The following is a 27,125-nucleotide window of genomic DNA, read 5'->3' on the forward strand; positions in this document are numbered from 1 at the left end:
TCTAATGGGCCTACTTGACTCCCTTCCTGATCATTCTCTCCAACCTCATCTGCTGCCTCCTCTCAGTCATGGGTCTCTTCCTAGTCAGGGGCTCCCACTCCCAGAATATGAATTACAATTGCCCAATGACTACTGGATTTATAGGGTTATCTACTTTTACCAATAGGATCATTTTAGCATCTTCCAATACTTTGAGGCTTTAATTAAACAGAAATAGGCAGGAAGAAAATACTTTCCTTTATTAGAACATTCCACAGAGAAAAATCAGCCAAGGAAATCGCATAAAAGACCAGAAGCAAAGGAGGTATTTAGTTTGTTTGTTTTGGTTTATGTTTTGTTTTGTTTTTGTTTTTGAGACAGAGTCTCACTCTGTTGCCCAGAGTGGAGTGCAGTGGCGCGATCTCGGCTCACTGCAAGCTCCGCCTCCCGGGTTCACGCCATTCTCCCGCCTCAGCCTCCTGAGTAGCTGGGACTACAGGCGTGAGCCACCGCGCCCGGCCAGTTTGTTTGTTTTTTAAAGCTCCACTTGTTGCACTCTGACCTCCAAAGCTTTGAAAAGCTAACAAATTATTCATCTGGAGCTGCCAGTTCCAGAGATTATATCAGTTTTCCAGAGTTCTTCTCACCTGCAATCAGGGTTAGTCTTGAGCATAGATGTACAGATTCTGAAAAGGGTATATTTGTCACTAAGAAAAAAAGGCAAATTGAGAGATGCTGTGGATGTATAAATTTCTGGGGGAGAATATACGAAGATAGGCTAAGTATCAACTGTACCCAGTTCAAGGGCCTGAAACGGATCATTTAGATAGAATGTGAAGAATAAGCCTCTCTGGGCTGGCTTCTAACAGAAGGAAAGGCACGAACCCAAACAAAAATAGGACACCTCTAAAAATCAAACAACATACCTCTTTAAAAAAAAAAAGTTTTTAGATTAAAGTCATGTAACATACAATTAACCATTTTAAAGTACACAATTCAGTGGTATTTAGTGCACTTGTAATGTTATACAACCACTCCCCCTCTCTAGTTTGAGAACTTTTTCATCACCCCAGAAAAACACACCATATCATTCTCCCTTTCCCCCATCCCCCAGGAGCCACTAATCTGCTCTCTGACTCCATAGATTTGCCTATTCCAGATTTATCATATAAAATGAATTACACAGTATGTGACCTTTTGTGTCTGGCTTATTTCATATCTTTTTTAATAATATTTTAATGTGTTACCATCATGTTTTCAAGAGTCATCCAAATTGTAAGATGTATCCCTACTTCACTCCTTTTTTTTTTTTTTCAGTCGGAGTTTTGCTCTTGTTGCCCAGGCTGGAGCGCAATGGTGCGATCTCGGCTCACTGCCACCTCTGCCTCCCAGGTTCAAGCGATTCGCCTACCTCAGCCTCCCGAGTAGCTGGGATTACAGGCATGCGACACCACGCCTGGCTAATTTTGTATTTTAGTAGAAACGGGGTTTCTCCAGTTGGTCAGGCTGGTCTCAAACTCCCGACCTCAGGTGATCCACCTGCCTCGGTCTCTCAAAGTGCTGGGATTACAGGCGTGAGCCACCGTGCCCGGCCCTTCACCCCTTTTTATAACTAGATCATTATTCCATTGTATGTATGTACTAACATTTTATTTATCTATCTATTGATGGACACAAGTTGTTAAATAATGCTGCTATAAACACTGTATACTAGTTTCTGAGAAGAACACCATTTATTGTGATCCTTAAAAGAAAGGAAAACACATTTTTAAGATAGCAACTCAACACCCATTCTTCTACAAGTTGCAGCATGTGCAAAAATACAAACTTAAAAGATGGCCCAAACCAGGAGAGGAGAAAACCTGAATGGTTTCTTAGCCATATACAAAATTAGAAAACTCTAGGAGCTGATATTCACACCTCAACACACTTAAAGGGGAGCCCATTTGCCCAGATAAAATCAATGGGGATGAAACTGACCACACTTCTACCAAGAAGCAGAAAAATGTTGTGACCAGCTTCAGACATGATTGAACAGGGGTATTTCCAATGATTGATGAATTAACACCACTGAGAAGTGAGCTTTTCTGATGATGTGCCCAGAGGCAGGCATAGAGTGTGGGTGGGAAGAGGAATTTAGAACCATTGTCTGTTTTTCTAAGACTTTTTTGTTGTTGTTTTGGGTTGTTTTTTTTTTTCACTGCATAGCTGCAGAAATTGTGTGAGCATTTTGGGACTGTCAAACTCCCATCTAACTTTGTGAAGAATTCTTCTGAGTGGATTTTATTGGTTTCAGCTGGAGAATCCACCCCACACCCCGCCCCCCACCACTAGCAGAAAGCCACATGCCCACCAAGCACTGCCTCTCTCCTCCTGCCCTGAAGTGATCAGAAAGCAAGAGTTCACCACGGGGGAAAACACGTGGAGTCAATTTGTGCCTCAAGTTAGTCCACAGCTTTCCACAATCTACAAGAGATGAGGTGGGGATAGCAACATCCCAATAGGCACAGCAGCCCAGAGCACTTCTCCTTTGCAAAGGGTATTTGTCCCTCTTTTTCTTTGTGGCAGGCAGTGGGTTTGATTTTTCTAAATGTTCAGTAGAAGATTGTTCAGATTTTTCTTTCTAAAACTTTCTGGAGCTTCAGCAGCACTAACGTATTCTATATCAACATGCACAATGGAAAAATATTACTGGCACCAAATAAATAAATAAGGACTATTTAAGGAAAGGGGTGGGGTGGGAGGTTGCTGGGAACATCTGCTCCTGTTCACAACATTCAAGCCGGCCCACCTCGAAGCGCCCCCCAGCCCTGCTAGATCTTGATGCTCTGATGTTCACAAAGCAGCTCAGCTCTCCTCCGAGTCACCATGTCAACACTGGGGATCCAACCCAGTGTTGAAAAGCTATGTGGGGACCTCCTTCAGGCATAGGCTGTGAACAGAGGGAGCAATCACTTCAGCTCTCTTTGCTCAGACACCAAATGTGAGTCTTTGCCAACTCCTTGGCTTTGAGGACAAGCTTTAAGGAAGACAGTTGCTGGATAATATTTCCCTTGTTGGAGATAAACTCTAAATTCTTCCAGGCCATGAAGAAGGAAAAAATCCTGACGATAAATGAATCTAGCCAAACAATCTTCACGTTAGGAACACTGTGACAACTTCCTCGCCATTAAAATGCACTTAAAAGGGGGCATTTCTACAGTGATTCCCCAGAAAACGTGTGTGTGTGTGTGTGTGTGTGTGTGTGTGTGTGTGTTTCTGGAGTAGGGAGTAAGAGTTCATGTAGACCTCAAGATACATATGACTTAAAATTTCAGTGTACCTCTTTGTATTAAGAGTATTTTCACTGAAATGCCAAAAAAAGGAAGTCCACTGGAGTCTGTGACTTTTTAATTGTGGTAAAAATACATAACATAAAATTTACCATCTTAACCATTTTTAAGTAAACAGTGCAATAGTGATAACTATATGCACATTGTTGCTCAACAGATTGCTAGAACTTTTTCATCTTGCAAAACTAAAACTCTACACCCACTGATAACTTTCCTTTCCCACCCCCCCTTCCCAGTCCTGGGGAACCACCATTCTACTTTCTGCTTCTCATGGTTTGGAGTCCCTGACTTTTAAAACTGGAAAGAACTTAAAAGCCATCTAATAAACCTTCCACTCTCAGCTAAGTAACCTGAGCTGTGGAACATTTAAGTGACTGATTCAAGGTTGGCCAGTGAGTCATGGAGCCAGGATTCAGGCCTCTGTTGTCCAAACCCAGCTCTGTCCTCTGTGTAGCATCATATCAGTAATAATATTATGGTTTTAGTTGTCTCCTATCATCCAAATCAATGCTCATTTATATGCAAAGAAATCATTTTGCAGTAATTAATATTATAAACATCAAATTGCAATTCCAGAAATATTCTGTAAATTCAGTAAGACAGTCAAAGAAAATTTATGTCTATCACATAATCCTCCCCACTCTGCTTAGGTTTGAGATAACAGTATAAAATTCTGATAGAGAGTCTGGAATAAGCTCTGTGTTAGAATTTAGATCTAATTTAAATGTTAGGCATTTAGCCTAGATAACTGAAAATTCTGGGGAGAGTTCAAGTACATAAAAGGTGGGAAAGGGTTTTTTCACTTGCAATGGAGTTACAGTAAGTACAAGAGGAAAACAATGTGCTGATCACAGGGTGGTTAAATATAAGAATGGATGACCCAATAATGCCATGAACTCACCTTTTCTGAAGGCCATTAAAATCTGTTTCCAGATTCTTATCAATGTGACATCACTGAAGGAAACCCTGGTATTTCCTTGCCAGGCTTCAATTCTATGATACTAAACCACCAGGGTTTTCATAAGCTATCCTAGAGGTCCAGGGATGGACTGAAAAATAAATCAGAGGGACCATCTGCAGCCTGGTGGGAGCTTTATCTCTTGGGCAAAACAGAGATTCTGAAAATATCCTGTATTGAATTCCACTTTGTCTCAAGATCCTCAAAGTCTACCTGGGTGACATCCCTAGAAGGCAACAGAAGGTTGAGTCCAAAGCTTTGACACCAGGGAGGCTTAACTTGCTTTTGTAAAATCACAAGCTTGAGCTGACACTGGAACTCCAAAAATGAGTCTCCCAGTTCTGCGGGCACAGTAAACGAACACAGGACAGAGGAGCCACTGAGGCATACCAAAGCCATTGAGGGCAGCCATGAGATTCATGATGAGGAGTTTAGACTACAGAGTCTAAACTCTGGTTTTGAGTCTCGCCTTTGGCTTTATGCCTCTGGACAATTCATCAAACCTGTCTCTGACTCAGTTTTCTTTTTTTTTTTTTTAGATTCAGGGGTACATGTGCAGGTTTACAGTATACCTAAATTGCATGTCATGGAGGTCTCAGGTACAGATTGTTTCATCACCCACGTAATAAGTATGGTACCCAATAGGTAGTTTTTCAGTCTTCGCCCTCCTCCCAACCTCCACCCTCATGTAGGCCGTGGTGTCTGTTCTTTGCTCTTTGTGTCCATATGTACACAATGATTAACTGCCACTTATAAGTGAGAATATGTGGTATTTGGTTTTCTCTTCCTGCATTATTTCACTTAGGATAACGGCTCCATCATGTTGCTGCAAAGGACATGATCTTGTTCTTTGTTTATGGCTGCATAGTATTCCATGGTATATATGTACCACAATATTTTTGTCCATTCTACCACTGATGGGTATTTAGGTTGACTCTATGTCTTTGCTATTGTGAATAGTACTGTGATAAACATATGTGTTCATATGTTTTTATGATAAAATGATTTATATCCCTTTGGGTATATAGCCAATAATGAAATTGATGAGTCAAATAGTAATTGTGCTTTGAGTTCTTTGAGAAACCCTCAAACTGCTTTGCATGATGGTTGAACTAATTTACATTCCCGCCAGCAGTATATAAGCATTCTCTTTTCTCTGTAACCTCGCCAATATCTGTCATTTTTTTACTTTTTAATAGTAGCCATTCTGACTGTTGTGAGATGGTATCTCATTGTGGTTTCGATTTGCATTTCTCTGATTAGTAATGTTGAGCATTTTTTCATATGTTTGTTGGCCACGTGTGTGTCTTTTGAGAACTGATCATGTCCTTTGCCCTCTTTTTAATGGGATTGTGTTTTGTTTGTAAATTTGTTTATTTCTTATAGATTCTGGATATTAGATCTTTGTCAGATGCATAGTTTGCAAATATTTTCTCCCATTCTGTATGTTGTCTGTTTACTCTGTTGATAGTTTCTTTCGCTGGGTAGAAGCTCTTTAGTTAGGTCCCACTGGTCCATTTTTGTTTTTGTTGCAATTGTTTCTGGAGTCCTTGTCATGAAATCTTTGCCAGGTCCTGTGTCCAAAATGGTGTTGCCTAGGCTGTCTTCCAGGGTTTTTATAGTTCTATATTTTACATTTAAGTTTTTAATCCATCTTGAGTTGATTTTTGTATATGGTGTAATGAAGGGGTCCAATTTCAATTTTTTGCATAGTCCATCTCAGTTTTCTTACCCATAAAATGAAGATGATAATAGTAACTACCTCACAGGGTTGTGCTGAAAATAAAGTGAATTAATAGATCTAATTCACTTAGCACAGTGCCTGGCCAATCATGAGCACTCAAAAAAAACCACCAGCAGTTATTATTAATAATCTACTCCACAATATGCACTGTGATCTTTTTACTCACTCTTTCTACCACTCTCTCCCTCTTCTTCCTTTCCTTGACACCTTCTTTCCTCTTATCACCTGCCTATGCCCCCACTCATTCCCATGGGCAAGATCAATCTTACTTTTGGCAATTTGAGGGACAGCCAAAAGGACTCTTCTGCCATAACATAAAAGTTCCTCTAAAATATAATTAGACATTCAATCCTCCAAATAAATAATCATTTTTAATGTAAAAGTCATGGCTTTTAATAATATTTAATAGCCATTAAATTATTAGCTTTATTCCTAATCACTCTGGCATATCCACTTATAATTCTATCTGTCTGAAATTATCTTGTTTACTTATTTTTAGTTTAGTACAGTTCTCCCCAAGCTCTCTAAAAACAGGAGCTTTACTATCTTGTTCACCATTATATCTCCAATCCCTACAGAAGAGTCTAGCATATACTAGATGCTCAATAAATATTTGTCAAATGTTGAATGGCTGAACTACTTACTCTCTTCCAAAATTTGCCGTGCTGTTCACCCTCTGGTTCTCTCAATATGCTGTTTCCTCTGCATGGATTTCAAAATTCATTCCAGATATTCAGTGACTGCCTACTGTGTATTTCCCTGGCCCACTCCTGCCAGGTCTCCAGGACTCAACATGAGCATTTTGTCTTCCACAGGGCCTTCTCTGACCTACCCAGGCTGGATCACTGATCTTCCTGCCAGCTGCTGCAGTGCCCTTACCTGTTCTACTCCCAGCTTTGCATTCCTGAAATCTTCATATACCAGCAAAGCCCTGAATATAATAGATTGTCTACTATAAAATTTGTACTGGATTAGATAATAACAAAACTGAGCTCTAACAGGGTTGGTGTGTATGTATAGGGATGGAGGAGGAGTCCGCAGAGCATAGTCACTTCTGTGACCGCCCCCCCACCTCCACCCACCATGCTCTGTCCCTCTGCAAAATTCTAAATGGCTTCGTGTCAGGCCTTGAGGATAACACGAGACGAGTCAAAACCATGAACACCAAAGGTGCGGCTGTATCACTGTCAGGTTTCCGATGGTGATAACTCTTTGAAGAGAGAAACTGTCTTCCTCACTGTTTCCCTACAATTGGCCCAATGTTGAAAAGTGTCAGAGCCTACACTCTGTACATGAATAAATGAATGTGCTAATTTCTATCAATTTAATTACTTTTGACTACAAAATTGTTGTTTTTAGTTTTTTAATCAAATTTTTGAATCATTTTGATGATATGTTTGTCCCATCTCGATAACACAATGTTTAAAAATAAATGAAGATTTATTTCTACATATTCCTTCTCCAAGATAAAATGATGCATTTAAGACACAAAATCCAGAAATTACATGGGCTCAGAATGGAATTCCAGACACTTCATCAGGGCTCAACTCTGACCCCAAATCAAGACACTAGGTGTTGCCACATCACCACTCACACACTTGGGTCAGGCCATTGTCCTGCATTTGACATTAATTGCACCTTCTGGACATATTTGCTGAGGGTTAAAAAGCTCTGAATGTGTGAAAGAGCAACTGGCAAGCACAGGCCAACATCAACATATTTAACCAGGGCAAGAATGGAAAAGATCTGGATGCTGGTTCTGAACTAGCTCCCTGGCCCCAACCCCAATGATAATCCAATAGCTTTGAGCCTTATTTCTCAAGTTAAGTCAGGTCCAGAGGACATTTTGAGAACCTCTATTTGTGGGAATATGCCCTCAGATACCCATGGGAATAGGTAATAAAATGGGGTAAGACAAACATACCCAGTTTTATTTCTAGACTATATCATCAAAACAGAAATAGTCTAAAGTTGACAAATTTTCTCAACTGTACCATAGCAATGATTTATACATCCTGTAGTCTTAATATGGCCTCCAAATGTGTGAAAGAAGAGACTGTACCATTTCAAGACATTCAATTTTTGATGTCAAAATAAGTTACTCTTTGTATCAGTTCCAGACAGTTAGGGACCTCACCCTGATATTTATCTGTACAACACATCCTCTTCCAAAATACTCTATTCCGTTGCTCTAAAAGAAAATACATTGGAATCATTTTGTGACAAATTTAGACATGTTGGGCAACAAAATATGTAGACAGTTGCTTGGTATGCAATTAAAATACCATTGGTGGGAACAACTGGCTCTAGCAATAGTAAAAGGAAATACACTTTTCTCGTCAGGAAAACAATTCCAGTTGACAGTCTCACTGAGCAAAATGAGATGGAGGTCTCAGCATGGCTCCTGATAAGAGATCCACTTGACCCCCATTCTGCACCTAGGGAGTCATAAATACTTCTGGAAAGGAATGAGAGAGAGCTGCACACCCTTCACACTCTGAGTTAACAGACAACGCACAGCAGAACCCCTCAACTCTGCACACTCTGTTGGTGCAGCCCTCTGGGAAACAGTTGCAAGAGCTGACCTCAGATCTGAAATCACAAGCACTCCTCTCAGTGTCCTAGAGGGAACACATTTTAGCAAAAATGAACTAGAAGTCATCAAGAACATGTGACACCTCCAAGAAGACCTATGCTGTAGTTTCTAGGGATACACCTGCCCTCTTCATTGTACTTTGAAAATTCCAAAATATTAGTTAAGCTTCCCATTTAATAATTTTTTAAAAGGTCAGTTTATTCCATGGTTTAACTAGAGTGAAAGAAAATCTTATCTCTCAGTATTCCCCTTTTTTAATAGAAAATGCCAAACATGAGCAAAAATAGGGAGACTAATACAATGAACTTTTCATTTATTACCTAGCTTCAACAATTATCAAATAATGGCCAAACACATTTCATCTCTAACCTTGCACGCTCCCCTCTGCCAATACTGGATTCCTTAAGGCAAATCTCAGACATCACATAATCTTATCTGTAAATATTTCAATCTGTAAATATTTCCATCTGTATCTTTGAAGGATAAGGGCTCTTTTTTAATATGGCCATTAACATATATAAAAACTGAAAAATAATTCTGTAACACCAACAAATATCCAGTCAGTAATCAGACTTCCCTGATTGTCTCATAATAGTTTTCATTGTTTGTTCAAATCAAGATCCATGTATTGCAATTGACATATCTCATATCTCAATCTATAGTGTTCTTTCTTCCCCTGTCTCCACCCACCCACCCCCCACACATACAATTTGTCATTGAAGAAACCAGGCTTTTTTCCTGAATAATTGTTCACACACTGCATTTTGCTGGCTGTATCCTCATGGTGTCATTTAACATGTCCCTCCTCCCCTGTTTTTTCCTGAAAACTATTTGTTATGTATAGAGGCTTGATTACATTCAGGTCTGACTTTCTGACAAGATACTTCATGAGTGGTTAAACATAGGGATCAGGTGGCACTTTATATCTAGTTGTCTCTCTTTTTGTGATGTTAGTAGCCATTGCAGATCATCCTGGATTGTCTCATTAATGGTTGCAAAATGGTGATATTCTCCATCTATCCTTTCTTTGTCTGTTATGAATACTTATTTAAAGAGATATGTTTCATCAGCAGCTATTGGATTATCCTGAGGTATGCCTTGTAAAGAAAAGACGATAAAATTCTCAATTATTTCCCTTTATCACTTTTCAAAATAATGAGTTAGTTCCCTAGCATCCTCAAAAGGATTTTTTGTTTTTATTTCTAAGTATCATTATGAACTCGTGAATTTTAAAGCATTTTGTATAATTTGATTTATTTCAGTTATTAGTTTACTGTTTATTGGTGCTCAAATTGTCCCATTTTTAACCAATGACAATCTCTTCAAGTTGGTTCTTGAGTTCTTTTCTCAGGATCCCATATTCTTTAATTAATCCCTGCTTTATGCTATAATATGTTTCAGGCTCATCTTGTACATTTTCTATTACAGACCTGGAGTTAGATAGTTCTTTAAAGAAACCTAGTTCTTTTCACTGGGAAATGGTATTCAGAACCCACAATGTGGGGGCTAGGGTGCTCCGTGCTACTGGATTGGTCATTTTTTCTTGAGATTCTCGATAGACAAATATAGAAAATATGCTTTTTGAGATAAAGTCTTGCTGTGTCACCCAAGCTGGGATGCAGTGGCATGAATGAGGCTCACTGCAGCCTCCATCTCCTGGCCTCAAGAAATCCTTCTGCCTCAGCCTCCCAAGTAGCTAGAGCTACAGATACATACCACCACATCCCACTATTTTTTTTTTTTTTTTGTAGAGGTGAGATTTCTCCAGTTTTCCCAGGCTGGCCTTGAACCCCACTGGGCTCAAGCAGTCCTCCTGCCTCAGCTTCCCAAAGTGCTAGGATTACAGTCATGAGCCACTGTGCCCAGCCCCTAGAAAATGTTTTTTAAAAAACATATACCATACATTTTTACTGATATTTTTTCTTTTTCCTTTTTTTTTTTTTTTTGAGATAGGGTCTCACCCTGTCACCCAAGTTGGAGTGCAGTGGTGCTATCATGGCTTGCTGCAGCCTCAACATCTCAGGCTCAAGTGATCCTCCTGCCTCAGCCTCCACAGCAGCACCACCCTACTTGGCTAATTTTTTTTTTCTAAATAAAGGTGGGCGGTCACACAATGTTTTCTAGGCTAAATACTGATATTTTCTATTTAAATCTATAATAATAGGGTTTTTACTTAACTTCTTTGATTTTATATCTCTTTTCTCTTATGCTAAAAAATACTAGTTAACCATAAACATTTACATAATTATTCTCTTTGTTCTATAATATACGTGCATAAGAGTTTCAGAATAACAATACTATTATTAAGAACACGATAACAATATATAGCCTAGATTTTGTATAGACCTTTATAGTCTTTAAGTGTATATACCACTAGGGATATGTTGTAAAGTATTGGGTTTTAAAGTCTCTTGGAATAGACCTTCATGTGGTGATATCATCAACTTGATAATTGGATTCATTGGTTTTACTTTTTATTTGCTATTTTATAGATTTATTTTTAAATTTTACTTCATTTCATAACTATATAAAATATGTACATAGTTTCAAAGTCAAATCTACAGATTCAAACATAATTTAAGTGACTTTTTTCATTTTTGAGTATCCTATTCAATATCAGAATTTATATTTATATATATATATTCCTTTCTTTGATCACTTTTCTAATTTTGCTTCTTTCACTTAAAAATATATTAACAATATATCCTAGTGATCATGAAAGTATATAAACATATTCACTTACTTTACCTTTTTATAGTTGTATAGCACTCCTCTTTTATTTGTATAACTACATAGTACTCCACTGAGTGACTGTACCAAAATTTATTCAACCAGTCCTCTGTTATGGACACAGGTTGTTTCTAACCTTTTGGTTACAAACATTACATTAATAAATTGTTTTGTGCCTAACTTGGGAGCTTATTTTTGTCTTCAGGATAGATTTCTAGAGGTGAAATTGCTTGGCCAAAAAATAAGTACATACATAATTTTGCTAGCTATTGTCAAAAGTCTGCAATAGTTTGCATTCCTACTCAAAATGCCTGAGTACTTATTTCTCCACAAACTGACAGAATTTAAAGTAAAATTTTTGAATTATTGCCAATGTGATAGCTGAGAAGTTATATCTTAGTATAGTTTTAATTTACATTTCTTTTATTATAAATAAGACTACCTATCTTTTCACATTTCTAAAGGCTATTTAAACTGCTGTGAGTTATCAATATGTCATTTATTTTTCTGTAGAATTGTTGGTCTTTTTTTGTATTTAGAAGCCATTGAAATAATAGAATATTAATCCTTTATCTGTGCTAGAAGTTGCAAATATTTTGCCAGCTTGCTGTTTTACTTTATTTGGGGGACAGGGGCACAAAAACAATTTTTTGTTCCATGTTTATCAACTCATATTGCTTATGTATTTTGAATCATAAAATTTTTTTTCTCATTCCCAAGTTATAGAGAAATTCATCCATGTTTTTTATCTGATAATTGTATAGCTTCATTTTTATGGTAAATCTCAAATATATTTAGAATTTATCCTGATGTGTACTTTTTCCACATGGCTACCCTGTTATCCTAACACTTGTCTATTTTGGATTTCATCTCCCACCAAAATAAAGTAAAAACTAAATCTAATCATGAGGAAACATCATAGAAACCAAAACTTGAGGGTCAATCTCTAAAATTACTGTCATGGATTTTTTATATTAAAAAAACTTTATTTTTAAGAGCTATTTTATGTTCACAGCAAAATTGAGAGGGAGGTATAGAGATTTTCTTTATACCCTGTGCCCCAACACACGCCTAGCCTCCCCTATTATCAACAGACCCTCTTCCCTCAGAGTGGTACATTGGTTAGAATAGATGAACCAACATTGACACATCATTACCACCCAAAGTCCATATTTTTAGATTAGAGTTCACTCTTGGCATTTGCATTAGTCCATTCTTACACTGCTATAAATAGCTACCTAAGACTAGGTAATTTGTAAAGAAAAGAGGTTTAATTCACTCATAGTTCTGCAGGCTTAACAGGAACCATGACTGGGAGGCCTCAGAAAACTTACAATCATGGCGGAAGGCAAAAGGGAAGCACATACATATTTACAAAGGTGGAGCAGGAGAGAAAGAGAGAGAGTGAGGGGGGATGTGCCACACTTTGAAACCATGAGATCTTAAGAGAACTTTATCACTATCACCAGAACAGCATGGGGGAAGTCTGCCCCACCATGATCCAATCACTTCCCACTAGGTCCCTCCCCTGACACGTGGGGAATTACAAGTCAACATGAGATTTGGGTGTGGACACAGAGCCAAATCTTATCAGTGTTTTATATCCCATAAGCTTGAGCAAATGAACAATGACATGTATTCATCATTGCAGTATCATTCAAAGTAGTACCACTGCTCTAAAAATCCTTTGTGCTCTATTTATCCCTCCCCCATCCCAATCCATGGCAACAACTGATCTTTTTATTGTCTCCATAGTTTTGATTTTCTAGAATGTCATATACTTGGAATCATACAGTATGTACCCTATTCAAATTGGCTTCTTTCACTTAGTAATATGCATTTCAGTTTCCCCCATGTCTTTTCACAGCTTGATAGCTCATTTTTTAGTGTTGAATAACATTCCACCGTCTGGATGTGCCATCTGGCCTGTATTTTCCAAAATATAGCAATACAGCAATGGAAAAAGACAAAGAAAGGCAACTAAAGAGATATGACAACTGAAAGCAATATATGGTTCCAGTTTCCATATTGTACTTGCGGGAGCGGGGGGAAATGCTGTAAAGGACATTATTGGGAGAATTGGCAGAACTGGAATATGGGTTGTATATTAAAGTGCTTTGTTGATATTGAATGTCCCAAAACTGATAATTCACTCTACTGTGAATATATATGAGAATATTCTTGCTCTTAGGAAATATACACTGACATATTAGCAGGTAAAGGAGCATGATGTATACAACTATTCTCAAATGATTCCAAAAATACATAAAATATGTGTGGGGGTGTGTGTGTGTGTGTGTGTGTGTGTAAAGAAAGAGACAGCGAGATAAAATAAATATGACAAAATGTTTAAAATTGGCAAATGTTGCCAAAGATTATTTGAGGGTTCTTTATACTACTCTTGCAAGTTTTTTTTTGGTAAGTTTGAAATTATTTCAAATTAACAAAATAAACAAAATTCTATCTTTTCCCCTACTGAACTCAGATGCTGCTTGTATCATATTCTCCATACCCATTTGCAGTGAGCTTTATTCTGTCTCATTCTCTGTGAGCAAACACTACACTACTTTAATTATGGCAACTTTATAATATGTTTTGTATATTTTAACTAAGTTTTAAATAATATCTGAAAGAATTTATCCTTCTCATTGTTCTTCTTTTTCAGAGTTTTCCTGTATATTCTTCCTTCTTTGTTCCTTTTTACACAACCTTATGATACTTTTATTGGAATAATATTACATTTATAGATTAACTTATAATTGACAACTTTGTGATGTTTAGTCTTTCTATCCAAAAGCTTGATATGCATTCCCATTTGATGAAGTCCACTTTTGTGTTTTTCTGGATGTTTTATAGTTTTTCTTAACTGTGTTTTGACACTTTGCATATTTTGCCATTATAAGTGCAATATTGTTTCCATTATATCTTTTAACAGGTTTCAATATCCCATTTGAGTTCCTGAATAAAAAGTTTTTAAATCATTTTACAATTATTCTAAGGCAGATATTTTCTGGCCTGTTTTTTGTATCTTATTGTTGCTGGTTGTGATGTGAAATTTTCAAAACAAAATATACTATCATTCACTGTAATTACTATTGCAAAGACAGGCTATGGTTAATACATGGGGAGATAGAAAACCCTGAATTCCAAAAGTTAAACGGGTTGAAAGCAACACATGGCAAACGACCTCAGCAATCTGCAGAAGGCTTGTATCTCCACCCCAAAAACCAAAGGAAGAGCACTGGAAAAAATTATTTAGTCTTGATGAAACGTTAACAAAATCTTTAAACTTGTTAGTGGCATCAGCATACCTGAAGAAAACATATGTGAACTAACTCTTTAATTAAATGTTAAGAATTTGTCGAGGTTTGTTCAGTTCTGTCAAGGAGGAAAATAACTGAAATATTTAAATTTTAAAAAAAAAGGAAGTCTGAGGACTGAAGAAAAACCCTCCAAACAAAACAAAATTCTTTATGATTCTGTATCTCGAGTATGTGCTTCCATACCTGCCAAGCAACTTTAAGGGAGTGAAAGCACTTGCCAACTTTCAAGTGTCCAGCCTCTCCCAGGCATATTTCTCACTGAAAACCAACCAATTCACCTGTGATGTACACATCAGTCTGTAGCGAGCCTGAGGGGAATACAGTCATCAGGCCCGGATGATCTGAGTGCAAACCCAGCACTGCAAGCCCAGAGGCCTCCTCAGGTGCTGACTTCTGCGTCTCAAACTGAAGGCAAGCCGTACTGGACACCGGAGGGAGATTAAAAACTATAGAATCAAGTGGGTGAAGGATATGAACAGACGCTTCTGAAAAGAAGGCATTTATGTGGCCAATAAACATATGAAAAAAAGCTAATCATCACTTGTCATTAGAGAAATGCAAATCAAAATCACAATGAGATACCATCTCATGCCAGTTAGAATGGCGATCATTAAAAAGTCAGGAAACAACAGATGCTGGAGAGGATGTGGAGAAATAGGAATGCTTTTACACTGTTGGTGGGAGTGTAAATTAATTCAGCCATTGTGGAAGACAGTGTGGCAATTCCTTAAGGATCTAGAACCAGAAATACCATTTGACCCAGCAATCCCATTACTGGGTATATACCCAAAGGATTATAAATCATTCTACTATAAAGACACATGCACACGTATGTTTATTGCAGCACTATTCACAATAGCAAAGACTTGGAACCACACAAATGCCCATCGATGATAGACTGGATAAAGAAAATGTGGCAAGATCGACGCTGCCTCCCCAACTCAGCTGTTGAGGTTTGGGGGTGGGGCGGGGAGAGGAGAAGGCCGCGACAGAGGAAGAAGGAAGCGGGGGAGGAGGAAGAAGGATGCGGCGGAGGAAGAAGGATGCGGCGGAGGAAGAAGGAAGCAGCGGTGGAAGAAGGAAGCGGTGGTGGAGCGGACACAGCGGACACAGCAGACACAGCAGCTCAGGCGGCGCCAGGTTCCTGGGAATGTCAGTGCGGCACGGTAGTTGGTGCGGATCCCGCGGAGCTTGGAGTTAAATTAAGGAAGAATAAAAGAGATGAACATCTCTTAAAGAGAAGGAATGTACCACATGAAGATATCTGTGAAGAGTCTGATATTGATGGTGATTATAGAGTGCAAAGTAACTCTCTAGAAGCTATTGTTCAAAATGTTTCAAGTGATAATCAACGAATTTAATTAAGTGCAGTTCAAGCTGCCAGGAAGCTTTTATCCAGTGATCGAAATCCACCAATTGATGACTTAATAAAATCTGGAATATTGGCCATTTTAGTCCATTGTCTTGAAAGAGATGACAATCCTTGTTTACAGTTTGAAGCTGCATGGGCTTTGACAAATATTGCATTTGGAACTTCTGAACAAACTCAAGCAGTAGCTCAGTCCAGTCCAATGCTGTGCCACTTTTCCTGAGGCTTCTCCATTCACCCCATCAGAATGTCTGTGAGCAAGCAGTGTGGGCATTGGGAAATAGCATAGGTGATGGGCCCCAGTGTAGAGATTATGTCATAAGTCTGGGAGTTGTGAAACCTTTACTTTCCTTCATAAGTCCAACTATTCCTATAACATTCTTTTATATATATACTTTAAGTTCTAGGCTACATGTGCACAACATGCAGGTTTGTTACATATGTATACATGTGCCATGTTGGTGTGCTGCACCCATTAACTCATCATTTACATTAGGTATATCTCCTAATGCTATCCCTCCCCCCACCCCCACCCCACGACAGGCCCCAGTGTGTGATGTTCCCCTTCCTGTGTCCAAGTGTTCTCATTGTTCAATTCCCACCTATGAGTGAGAACATGCAACATTCTTAAGAAATGTTACTTGGGTTATGGTCAACTTATGTCGCCACAAAGACCCACCACCACCAATGGAAACCATTCAGGAGATTCTTCCAGCCCTTTGTGTTTTAATTCATCACATAGACGTAAATATATTGGTAGATACAGTCTTGATCCTCTCTTACCTTACTGATGCTGGCAATTATCAAATACAGATGGTAACAGACTCTGGAATATTTCCTCATTTGGCTTCCTCAGCCACCACGAAGTTAAAGTTCAGACTGCTGCACTTCGAGCTGTGGGCAACATTATTATGGGAACTGATGAGCAAACACAAGTAGTGTTGAACTGTGATGCCCTTTTACACTTCCCAGCACTCCTGACACATCCCAAAGAGAAAATCAATAAAGAAGCAGTGTGGTTCCTCTCTAATATCACTGCAGGAAGTCAGCAGCAGGTACAGGCAGTAATTGATGCCAATCTTGTACCAGTGACAATACATCTTTTGGATAAGGGGATTTTGGCACTCAGAAAGAAGCTGCTTGGGCCATAAGTAACTTAAAAGTTAGTGGAAGGAAAGATCAAGTGGCTTACCTTATCCAGCAGAATGTTATCCCACCTTTTTGCAACTTGCTGACTGTAAAAGATGCACAAGTGGTCGTCCGCAAAGCCTGAGTCCTGTCCTCTCACTCTCCTCCCCAGACAGCATGAGCTTCAACACTTGCTCCACCTTCTCCACCTGCTCCACCTTCTCCACCAACTACCAGTCCCTGGGGCGCCTGGACAGTCAGCGCGTGGCCAGCATCTATGCAGGTGCTGGGGGCTCTGGTTCCCAGATCTCCCTGTCCCACTCCACCAGCTTACAGGGTGGCATGGGGTCCAGAGGCCTGTCCACAGGGATGGCCGGGGGTCTGGCAGGAATGGGAGGCATCCAGAATGAGAAGGAGACCATGCAAAGCCTGAACGACCTCCTGGCCTCCTACCTGGACAGAGTGAGGAACCTGGAGACCGAGAATTGGTAGCCGGAGAGCAATATCTGGGAGCACCTGGAGAAGAGAGACCCCAGGTCAGAGACTGGAGCCATTACTTCAAGACCATTGAGGAAGATCTGAGGGCTCATCTTCACAAATACTGTGGACAATGCCCACATCGTTCTACAGATCGACAATGCCCGTCTTGCTGCTGATGACTTGAGAGTCAAGTATGAGACAGAGCTGGCCATGTGCCAGTCTGTGGAGAGCGACATCCGTGAGCTCCGCAAGGTCATTGATTACACCAATGTCACTCAGCTGCAGCTGGAGATAGAGATTGAGGCCTCAAGGAGGAGCTGCTCTTCATGAAGAAGAACCATGAAGAGGAAGTAAAAGGCGTACAAGCCCAGATTGCCAGCTCTGGGTTGACTGTGGAGGTAGATGCCCCCAAATCTCAGGACCTCGCCAAGATCATGGCAGAAAACTGGGCCCAATATGGCAAGCTGGCTCGGAAGAACCGAGAGGAGCTGGACAAGTACTGGTCTCAGCAGATTCAGAAGAGCACCACAGTGGTCACCACGCAGCTTGCCGAGGTTGGAGCTGCTGAGATATGCTTATGGAGCTGAGACATACAGTACAGTCCTTGGAGATTGACTGGACTCCATGAGAAATCTGAAGGCCATCTTGGAGAACAGCCTGAGGGAGATGGAGGCCCGCTACACCCTGCAGATGGAGCAGCTCAACAGGATCCGGCCGCACCTGGAGTCAGAGCTGGCACAGACCCAGGCAGAAGGACAGGGCCAGGCCCAGGAGTATGAGGCCCTGCAGAACATCAAGGTCAAGCTGGAGGCTGAGATCACCACCTACCACCGCCTGCTGGAAGATGGTGAGGACTTCAATCTTGGTGATGCCCTGGACAGCAGTAACTCCATGCAAACCATCCAAAAGACCACCACCTGCCAGATAGTGGATGGCAAAGTGGTGTCTGAAAACGAGCAATGACACCAAAGTTCTGAGACATTAAGCCAGCAGAAGCAGGGTACCCTTTGGGGAACAGAAGGCCAATAAAAAGTTCAGAGGTCACACCTTATACAAAAATTAATTCAAGATGGATTAAAGACTTAAATGTTAGACCTAAAACCATAAAAACCCTAGAAGAAAACTTAGGCTCAGGACATAGGCATGGGCAAGGACTTCATGACTAAAATACCAAAAGCTATGGCAACAAAAGCCAAAATTGACAAATGGGATCTAATTAAACTAAAGAGCTCCTGCACAGCAAAAGAAACTATCATCAGAGTGAACAGGCAACCTACAGAATGGGGGAAAATTTTTGCCATCTACCTATCTGACAAAGGGCTAACATTCCAGAATCTGCAAAGAACTCAAACAAATTTACAAGAAAAAAACAAACAACCCCATCAAAAAGTGGGCAAAGGATATGAACAGACACTCCTCAAAAGAAGACATTTATGCAGCCAAAAGACACATGAAAAAATGATCATGATCACTGGTCATCAGAGAAATGCAAATCAGAACCACAATGAGATACCATCTCACACCAATTAGAATGGCGATCATTAAAAAGTCAGGAAACAACAGGTGCTGGAGAGGATGTGGAGAAATAGGAACACTTTTACACTGTTGGTGGGACTGTAAATTAGTTCAACCATTGTGGAAAACAGTGTGGTGATTCCTCAAGGATCTAGAACTAGAAATACCATTTGACCCAGCAATCCCATTACTGGGTATATACCCAAAGTATTATAAATCATGCTACTATAAAGACACATGCACATGTGTGTTTATTGCAGCACTATTCACAATAGCAAAGACTTGGAACCAACCCAAATGTCCATCAATGATAGACTGGATTAAGAAAATGTGGCACATATACACCATGGAATACTATGCAGCCATAAAAAAGGATGAGTTCATGAAGGTGGAAACCATAATTCTCAGCAAACTATCACAAAGACAGAAAACCAAACACCACATGTTCTCACTCATAGGTGGGAATTGAACAACGAGAACACTTGGACACAGGGTGGGGAACATCATACACCGGGGCCTGTTGAGGGGTCGGTGGCTGGGGGAAGGATAGCATTAGGAGAAATACCTAATGTAAATGACAAGTTGATGGGTGCAGCAAACCAACATGGCACATGTATACCTATGTATCAAACCTGCACATTGTGCACTTGTACCCTAGAACTTAAAGTATAATTTTAAAAAAAAATGCAGAGGCAAAAAAAAAAAAAGATGCACAAGTTGTGCAGGCAGTACTCAATGGACTAAGTAATATACTAAAAATGGCCAAAGATAAGGCATAAACCATGGACAATCTTTTTTTTTTTTTTTTTTCAGACGGAATCTCACTCTGTCTCCAAGCTGGAGTGCCATTATGCGATCTTGGCTCACTGCAATCTCTGACTCCCTGGTTCAAGCAATTCTCCTGTCTCAGCCTCCTAAGTAGCTGGGATTACAGGCACATGCCACCATGCCCAGCTAATTTTTGTATTTTTAGAAGAGACGGGGTTTCACCACATTGGCCAGGATGGTCTCGATCTCCTGACCTCGTGATCCGCCTGGCTCGGCCTCCCAAAGTGCTAGGATTACAGGCTTGAGCCGCCGTGCCCCAGCCAGGCAATCTTATAGAAGAAGATGGAGGGCTGGAGAAAATTAAACAACTTCAAAATCATGAAAATGAAGACATCTACAAATTGGCCTATGAGATCATTGATCAGTTCGTCTGTTCAGATGATAATTGATGAAGACCCTAGCCTTGTTCCAGAGGCAATTCAAGGCGGAACATTTGGTTTCAATTCATCTGCCAATGTACCAACAGAAGAGTTCTAGTTTTAGAAAGACGTCATGGAAGTTAGGTACAATGCAGCACTGAGATATATATACACACATGTATACACATATATATACATATATGCATCTATATATATACACACATATACATATATATATATACACACACACACACACACACACCATGGAATACTATGCAGCCATAAAAAAGGATGAGTTCATGAAGCTGGAAACCATAATTCTCAGCAAACTATCACAAAGACAGAAAACCAAACACTGCGTGTTCTCCCTCATAGGTGGGGATTGAACAATGAGAACACTTGGACACAGGGTGGGGAACATCATACACTGGGGCCTGTATGATATATACATGTATGTATATGTGTATACATGTGTGTATATATACAAAGTTTTGATCCATCAAGCTTGGCTCGTGGGATCTGCTGCTGCATTAAATATAAATAGGGAAATAAAATGTGAAGATTTCATTTGAAATCACAGAAAATGCCCAAATGAGGTCAAGATGGAGAATGGGTGCAAGTGAGAATGAGTGGCAAAATGTAATGGAAACTTCACATGAATGCTTATTTACGTTGTTCAAAGTAAAAAGGGCTACAGGTCACAGATCATCAGTGCCTGAGAAAGAACACTGACTTGCTTTATATCAATTGAGGGGAAAGTGCAGTACTGTGATCTTCAACCTTGTAAGCATAAAAGAGAATAGGCTGCCTGTATAAGTCAAAGGAAAATAGGCCAAGGCCTTGTTATGAAGCAATGTGTGAATGGACAATGTTGAATGAATGTCTGGGTCAGTGATGGAGAGCCAGGTTCGTCTTTAAAATCTAGGGCTCGTCACTTATGAAGCAGACTCCTAGTACTGGAGTGACTCTATATGAGAGTGTGGTTGTGGTGCTGTATGTGAACTCATGTAAGCTTGATTCACCTTCAGGGGCTGATAACAAACCTAGTAAATCATCAAAATGAGATAATAAGTGCTAATGTACACTGGACATGAAAACAAAGACTGGTTTAGCAGCAGACATTGGTTTACTCTACAGCTTGTGTTTTCTATTTCCCCCTTTCCCACCTCCTTCCCCCTACCCAACTCCTTTTTTTTTTTTTAGTTTTTATTTACCTAGTGTGCCTTTTTTTAGTTGCTTCTCAAGTCAGGAAACTTTACAGGAAGGATTCCCTGTGCATTTGCACCAGATGAATGTTTGATGCTATGAAAAACTTTCCATAGCATCAAAACTAATTTGTGTAGATTTTTGCATAAAAAAATCATAAATTTCCCTCAAAGTAGACTGTGTTGCAGTACACAAGTTGCCATAATAGTAAAAAACAGTAAAATGTGCTTAAAAGGCCATCTTTTTCATTTTCAGAGATATCATAAAGATGTTTGCATGAGGTAAATCTATAGCATAGTTCATTTTTAGGTTTTGTTGAGTCCTGTAAAGAAGAAGAAAAAAAAGTTTCAGCTGTGGTAGAATACCATGCTGTGTTTAAATGTTACTTGTTTTCAAACTTTCTTTTCTATGAAAATGACATGGAAACTTCTAAAATGGAATTTGGTGTATATGTACTGCTGAATAAAGACCAATGAAGAGGTTTGAGTAGATGTACAAATCAAGTAATGGTTTGAACACCTTTAATAATATGCCTAATCTGTTCCATTGTTTCAGAATCTTTTTATCTTAGATGTAGGCAACCATGAACAATCTATTTTGAGCCCCTTTAGGGAGAAAACTTTGTATTTTTAAAACTTGCATAAAAGTTATGCAAGTGGTTTTTATAAATCAGAATAATACCTCAGTTTTGATGTTATGCACACTAAATTAAATGTGACATAAATTAATTTGTACAAAAAGAACTAGGTGGCTCATTGTAAGAAATCCTGTGCCTTCCCCTTTGAGCACAAGTGTTGCATGAACAACAGTTTGCTATAAGAAACATACCAGATTAGCCACCATTAGCATCTATATCTACTTTGTGTTTAAAAATCAACTGGTAATTCTGAAACACTGTAGAATAGATAAAAATTATTTTGTGATCATAACTCTTTGTTGAACTAGAGTATTTTTGCAACATTCCTTGTCATCAGAATAATGGTTAAAGTTTAAAACTAGAAGCAGCAGAAAACTAGCTTGTAAAATGTATCCAAGTAAAGTGCAGGCTAGGCTGTCTTGGGGAAATAAACATTAAAACTTAAAGCAATGTTAAAAAAAAGAAAAAGAAAGAAAAGAAAATGTGGCACATATACACCATGTAATACTATGCAGCCATGAAAAAGGATGAGTTCATGTCCTTTGCAGGGACATGGATGAAGCTGGAAACCATCATTCTCAGCAAATTAACACAGGAACAGAAAACCAAACACCACATGTTCTCACTCATAAGTGAGAGTTGAACAATGAGAATACACAGACACAGGGAGGGGAACATCACACAATGGGGCCTATCAGAGGGTTGGGGGCTAGAGGAGGGATGGCATTAAGAGAAATACTTAATGTAGATGATGGGTCGACAGGTGCAGCAAACAACCATGGCACGTGTAAGCTATGTAACAAACCTGCACATTCTGTACATGTATCCCAGAACTCAAAGAATAATTTTTAAAAAAATCCTTCAACAAAAAAACACTATAGAATCAATTTAATGTGGTTTCATGTCTGCAATATAGAGTTCAAAAACCCTATATTGCTTCAGCACAGAGATGAGGAAATAGTTGGCTTTTCTAGACCTATAAATGGATTGCTGAGAGAGAAGCTAGGTGGACCTGAGATTCCTTTGACAAGCAAGATTCTCCATCTGGATGGAGTAAACGGAACCTCTACAACAGGGCAGGTTAGAGCCCTGATGCAAGGGATCTAAGTATTGAGCTGCCAAAAAAGAGCATTGATGGCAAGAGCAGATTTTTCTCAAGTCATTCTAACAAATGGTGTTTTTGCTGTGTAACACTGTAAACCTCAGCAATTAGGTAGTGGCTATTCTCCTCTAGTAGAGATTTAGTGGGATCAACAGGAGCTCTACTTCAAAGTCACACTAATTTAAAATTATTCTCCAGAGCAGCCTACCAAGTCCCCTGGCTTATTCTTTTCTATTTAAGGGAGGAAACCCAACAGGATTAGGGAGTTTGACTGCCTGCCTAGAGTTTGACATTTTACACAGCCAAGAAAATAGGTTTGTTACTCTAAAAAGTCTCTCAGACTAAAATTAATTTGAGAACAAAGTTGAAATCTGCCTCCAACTTACTCTTTATTGTTACATTTCCACTGAAAATTTCATCTCCACTTTTTATATGTCCAATATATTTTCTACTTTATTTCTTCTCAAGATTCTTAAGGTCAAAAACCTTAAGAGCTAGATTATAATAAATGATGCTGAAATTATGTTAAACCTATAAAACCAAAGTCTGGCTAAACCTATGGTTTTACTAAAATAAATAAGTGGTTTTGTTAGCAAATTGCACTACATACTTAGAAAGAGTCAAGCCTTCTATTCTATTTAACACGGCTTTCATCTCTATCCCAACTGCCTTTCACTCTATCAACTAGAAAAAAACACCAAGTATACTTCTAGGGCTTTCTTGAGGTTCAGCAGTCATTCTCACAGTCATGAAACAGACTTTTTCCCAGGAGCCCGCGTGTCCTCAGACTTGAAGATGTATCTGTTTTCTTTTCATGCCACTTTTTCGTTCATCTTCACGAAGAGAAATAACAAGGAATAGCTTTAAGATAATAAACTTGCCCTTTTACCTGTAGATTCACTTTGCCAAAATAAGAGACACAGAACAGACTAGCCAGGAAGATCCAACTTCTACTCGTTGCCTTGCTACCATAGGTATTTGATACCCGATGGCTAGGTGGCACTGCACTCAACCAATATTCTAAGATGTTGAATGAGGAAATCAACAGCAGACCCAAGGCCTTCTATTTTTAATTTACTCTTCTTTGGGGCCTGTCTCACAGCTTTATGCATAGCACTCTCCCAGCTATCAGCCCACTCCCACCCTGGAATCATTGAGCTACGAAAGCCTGATGTCAGGCAATTGCTCGACCATCAGTTTTTACTGTGGACCTCCTAGTGAAAGCATTCCTAACCAAAGTGTTAGGACTCTTGTGTTGCTGTTCCTGATAATTCAAGGGTGATATACACATAACCAAAGACACTAAAAAGTATTATAATGTGTACATTTCCCTCCCCAACCCTTAAATTCGTTGGGTGATTTATGTCCTGGGTGTATATGAGTGAATGATATCAATCTCACACATACAGACGTCCATGTATACCTCCATCTGAGAAATGCTTGGTCCTTGCACCAAATACTAAGGAGGGCCCAATTCTTTACATGGTAAAGAGAAACCAGCTTTTCAGATGAAGGAAAACACAGGTGCAGAACATGGAGGTGTAAAATGATATGAGGAACTACAGCATATGTTGGGACATTTTTAAAAAAAAGGTAAAACCAGAGAAGTGGGCAAGGTCCAGATATGAAGCACCTTAAAAGCCATCTAAAGAGCCTGGAATTTATTCTTAGCTGTGAAGACTCAGGGAAGAGGTTAAAGTAATAGAGACATGACTGGATTTCTATCTAGGAAAGAACACTCTAACAGCAGCAAGGAGAATGGATTGGAGACCTGCAAGATTAAAGGAAGAGGTCTCAGAAGCTGCTGCAATAATCCAGGTATGAAATTAGGAAAGCCTAAAGTAAATCAGCAGCAGAAGAGATGAATAGGAGGGGTATAAAGGAGAGATTTTGACTTGTTCTTAAATTAGGTTTTGGGGAAAAAAAGAGAAAGGCAGAGTCACAGAAGACTGTCAGTTTTCCAGTTGCATAAGGCAGTGTTTTATACCAAGGGAGACAATACAATAGGAAGAACATGTTTGGTTTGTGGGGGGAAAAATGAGCTCCATTTTGGACATAACAAATTTGAAGCAACTGTACAAAATACAAGTCAGGATAAACTGAAGGCAGTTAAATAAATCATTTTGGAGACTAGGAATGAAGCCTGGACTGGAGCTATGGATTTGGGTGCCAGATGCTTATCAGTGGCAGTCTGAACCAGAAGAATAAGTAAGATCTCTCGGGAAGCATGGAGAAAATAAGGCAGAGGATACAGCCTGGTCATCTCCCAACATTTTAGGGGCAAGTGTGGGAAGAGAAGCCAAGAAAAGTGACTGAGAAGAACAGAATATTCACCAGCTGAAGGAGGACCAAGGATCTGTGTCATCACAAAAAGACACTCCAAGGCTGGAATAAAACATGGCCAACAGAGCCAAATTCCACCAAGGACATAAGCAAAAGAGAGGATTTCTTTAGATTCAACAGTTTGAACACAGTCCTGAAAAGGGCCAAGAGGATTGGATCAAGTGCATAGGTGGGAAAATCAGTCTGGGGAGAAGAGATGCCTTGTCTTCCAGGATTAGTGATAAGATCAGAGGAGGCTGAGGGCAGAGAAAGGAAGTTTGCAGAGTGGACATAGGAAATTGAGGAAGTTTGTGCCAATGGACTCAGTTTGACTGAAGAGGCAGCTCTGGATACCTGCTGAGGGAAAATTAGGCAATAGTGAGGGAGGACTCTGAAGACAGCCAGTGATATTTGCAGAGGATGCTGTAGGAAATTCTTCCCTCCCCTGACACCACTTCCTTGGCACCCACCTGACCCCATGCCTAACCCCATGAAACAGAAAACTATTTCAATTAATAAATTAAGTTAAATTTTAGATTTATTTATTCTCATTATTGAGTGCCTATGTAGTGCAAGGCAATGTGGTGAACTCAGGAGATGTAAAGATTTCACAATGTTTGAAGAGCTGTAAATCCTCCCCACTGAAATTTTATCAGTTTGATGTCTACTCATCTTCAGGTCTCATCTTAAAATGACACTTCCTCACAGGTACCAGTCCTCACTCCCTATACTAGGTTAGGGCCTCCTCTCCAACATTCTCAGCACGCCATATGCTTTTCCTTGGTAGCTCCTCCAGTAATAACTAAATAATTAGTTATAATCAAATAGGTAATATAAATATTAATTACATTACATATATAGTTTTTAATATCTATCTTCTTTGCCCACTAAATTGTAACCCCCACGAGATCAGTAAGCTAGTTATTGCTGGATGCTCAGCACCAACAAACAACATGATATTTATTAATTCATTCATCCAATAAGTATTCAACCCCCCTATATAAGAGACATAGTGTAAATAACAGACGCCCAGGAAATACTTGTTGAATGAATCAATGAATAAATAAATGAAGTTCTATAGGAAGATTCATTTCTTAAAAATAAAGTCTACTGAGTAATCTATAATCACAATTTGATATGGTACAAACTTAAGGGATTCCAAGTACGGGGCACTCACTTGGTTGAATTTAAATGGGGAAAGCTAACTTTTGACAGAAATGATGATTTGGGGGGGAAAGTATGAATGTAGATTGGATGCTAAGAGGGTAGATGGCCCACAAAAGAAAATCTTATTACTTGAACCATTCTTCATAGGCTGGGCCTCACTGTGTACTACAGCAAAAGGAATAGAATGTCTCTTACCTTAATTGGACCATAAATAATACTTCTGTTCTATTTCTAACCAAAAGTTTATATATGCTAGGTTATGGGATTGCTGGGGACTAGGACTCACAGTACAATTCTGTAAAAAGAAATATCATTATACTTTTGAATCTCTCAGATTTAATTGAAGTTTA

General features: G+C 39.2%; 3 pseudogenes, besides 1 other annotated feature; all 3 read left to right on the top strand.

The window, feature by feature from the left end:
• KRT18P30 (keratin 18 pseudogene 30) lies at window positions 7,036–15,271 on the top strand (annotated as a pseudogene).
• Window positions 12,779–13,014: a silencer, noted in NCBI's record as "fragment chr6:85992886-85993121 (GRCh37/hg19 assembly coordinates)". NCBI's record gives its function as "represses an EF-1alpha promoter that drives an FKBP-Casp9 reporter gene in an ReSE screen in HepG2 liver carcinoma cells {active_cell/tissue: HepG2}" and the evidence as "EXISTENCE:reporter gene assay evidence [ECO:0000049][PMID:32094911]".
• Window positions 15,950–20,364, top strand: LOC100421093 (karyopherin subunit alpha 3 pseudogene; annotated as a pseudogene).
• On the top strand, window positions 17,287–18,683 carry KRT18P64 (keratin 18 pseudogene 64; annotated as a pseudogene).

Source organism: Homo sapiens, chromosome 6 (assembly GCF_000001405.40).
Source record: "Homo sapiens chromosome 6, GRCh38.p14 Primary Assembly".
In the NCBI taxonomy this organism is placed as follows: Eukaryota; Metazoa; Chordata; class Mammalia; order Primates; family Hominidae; genus Homo; species Homo sapiens.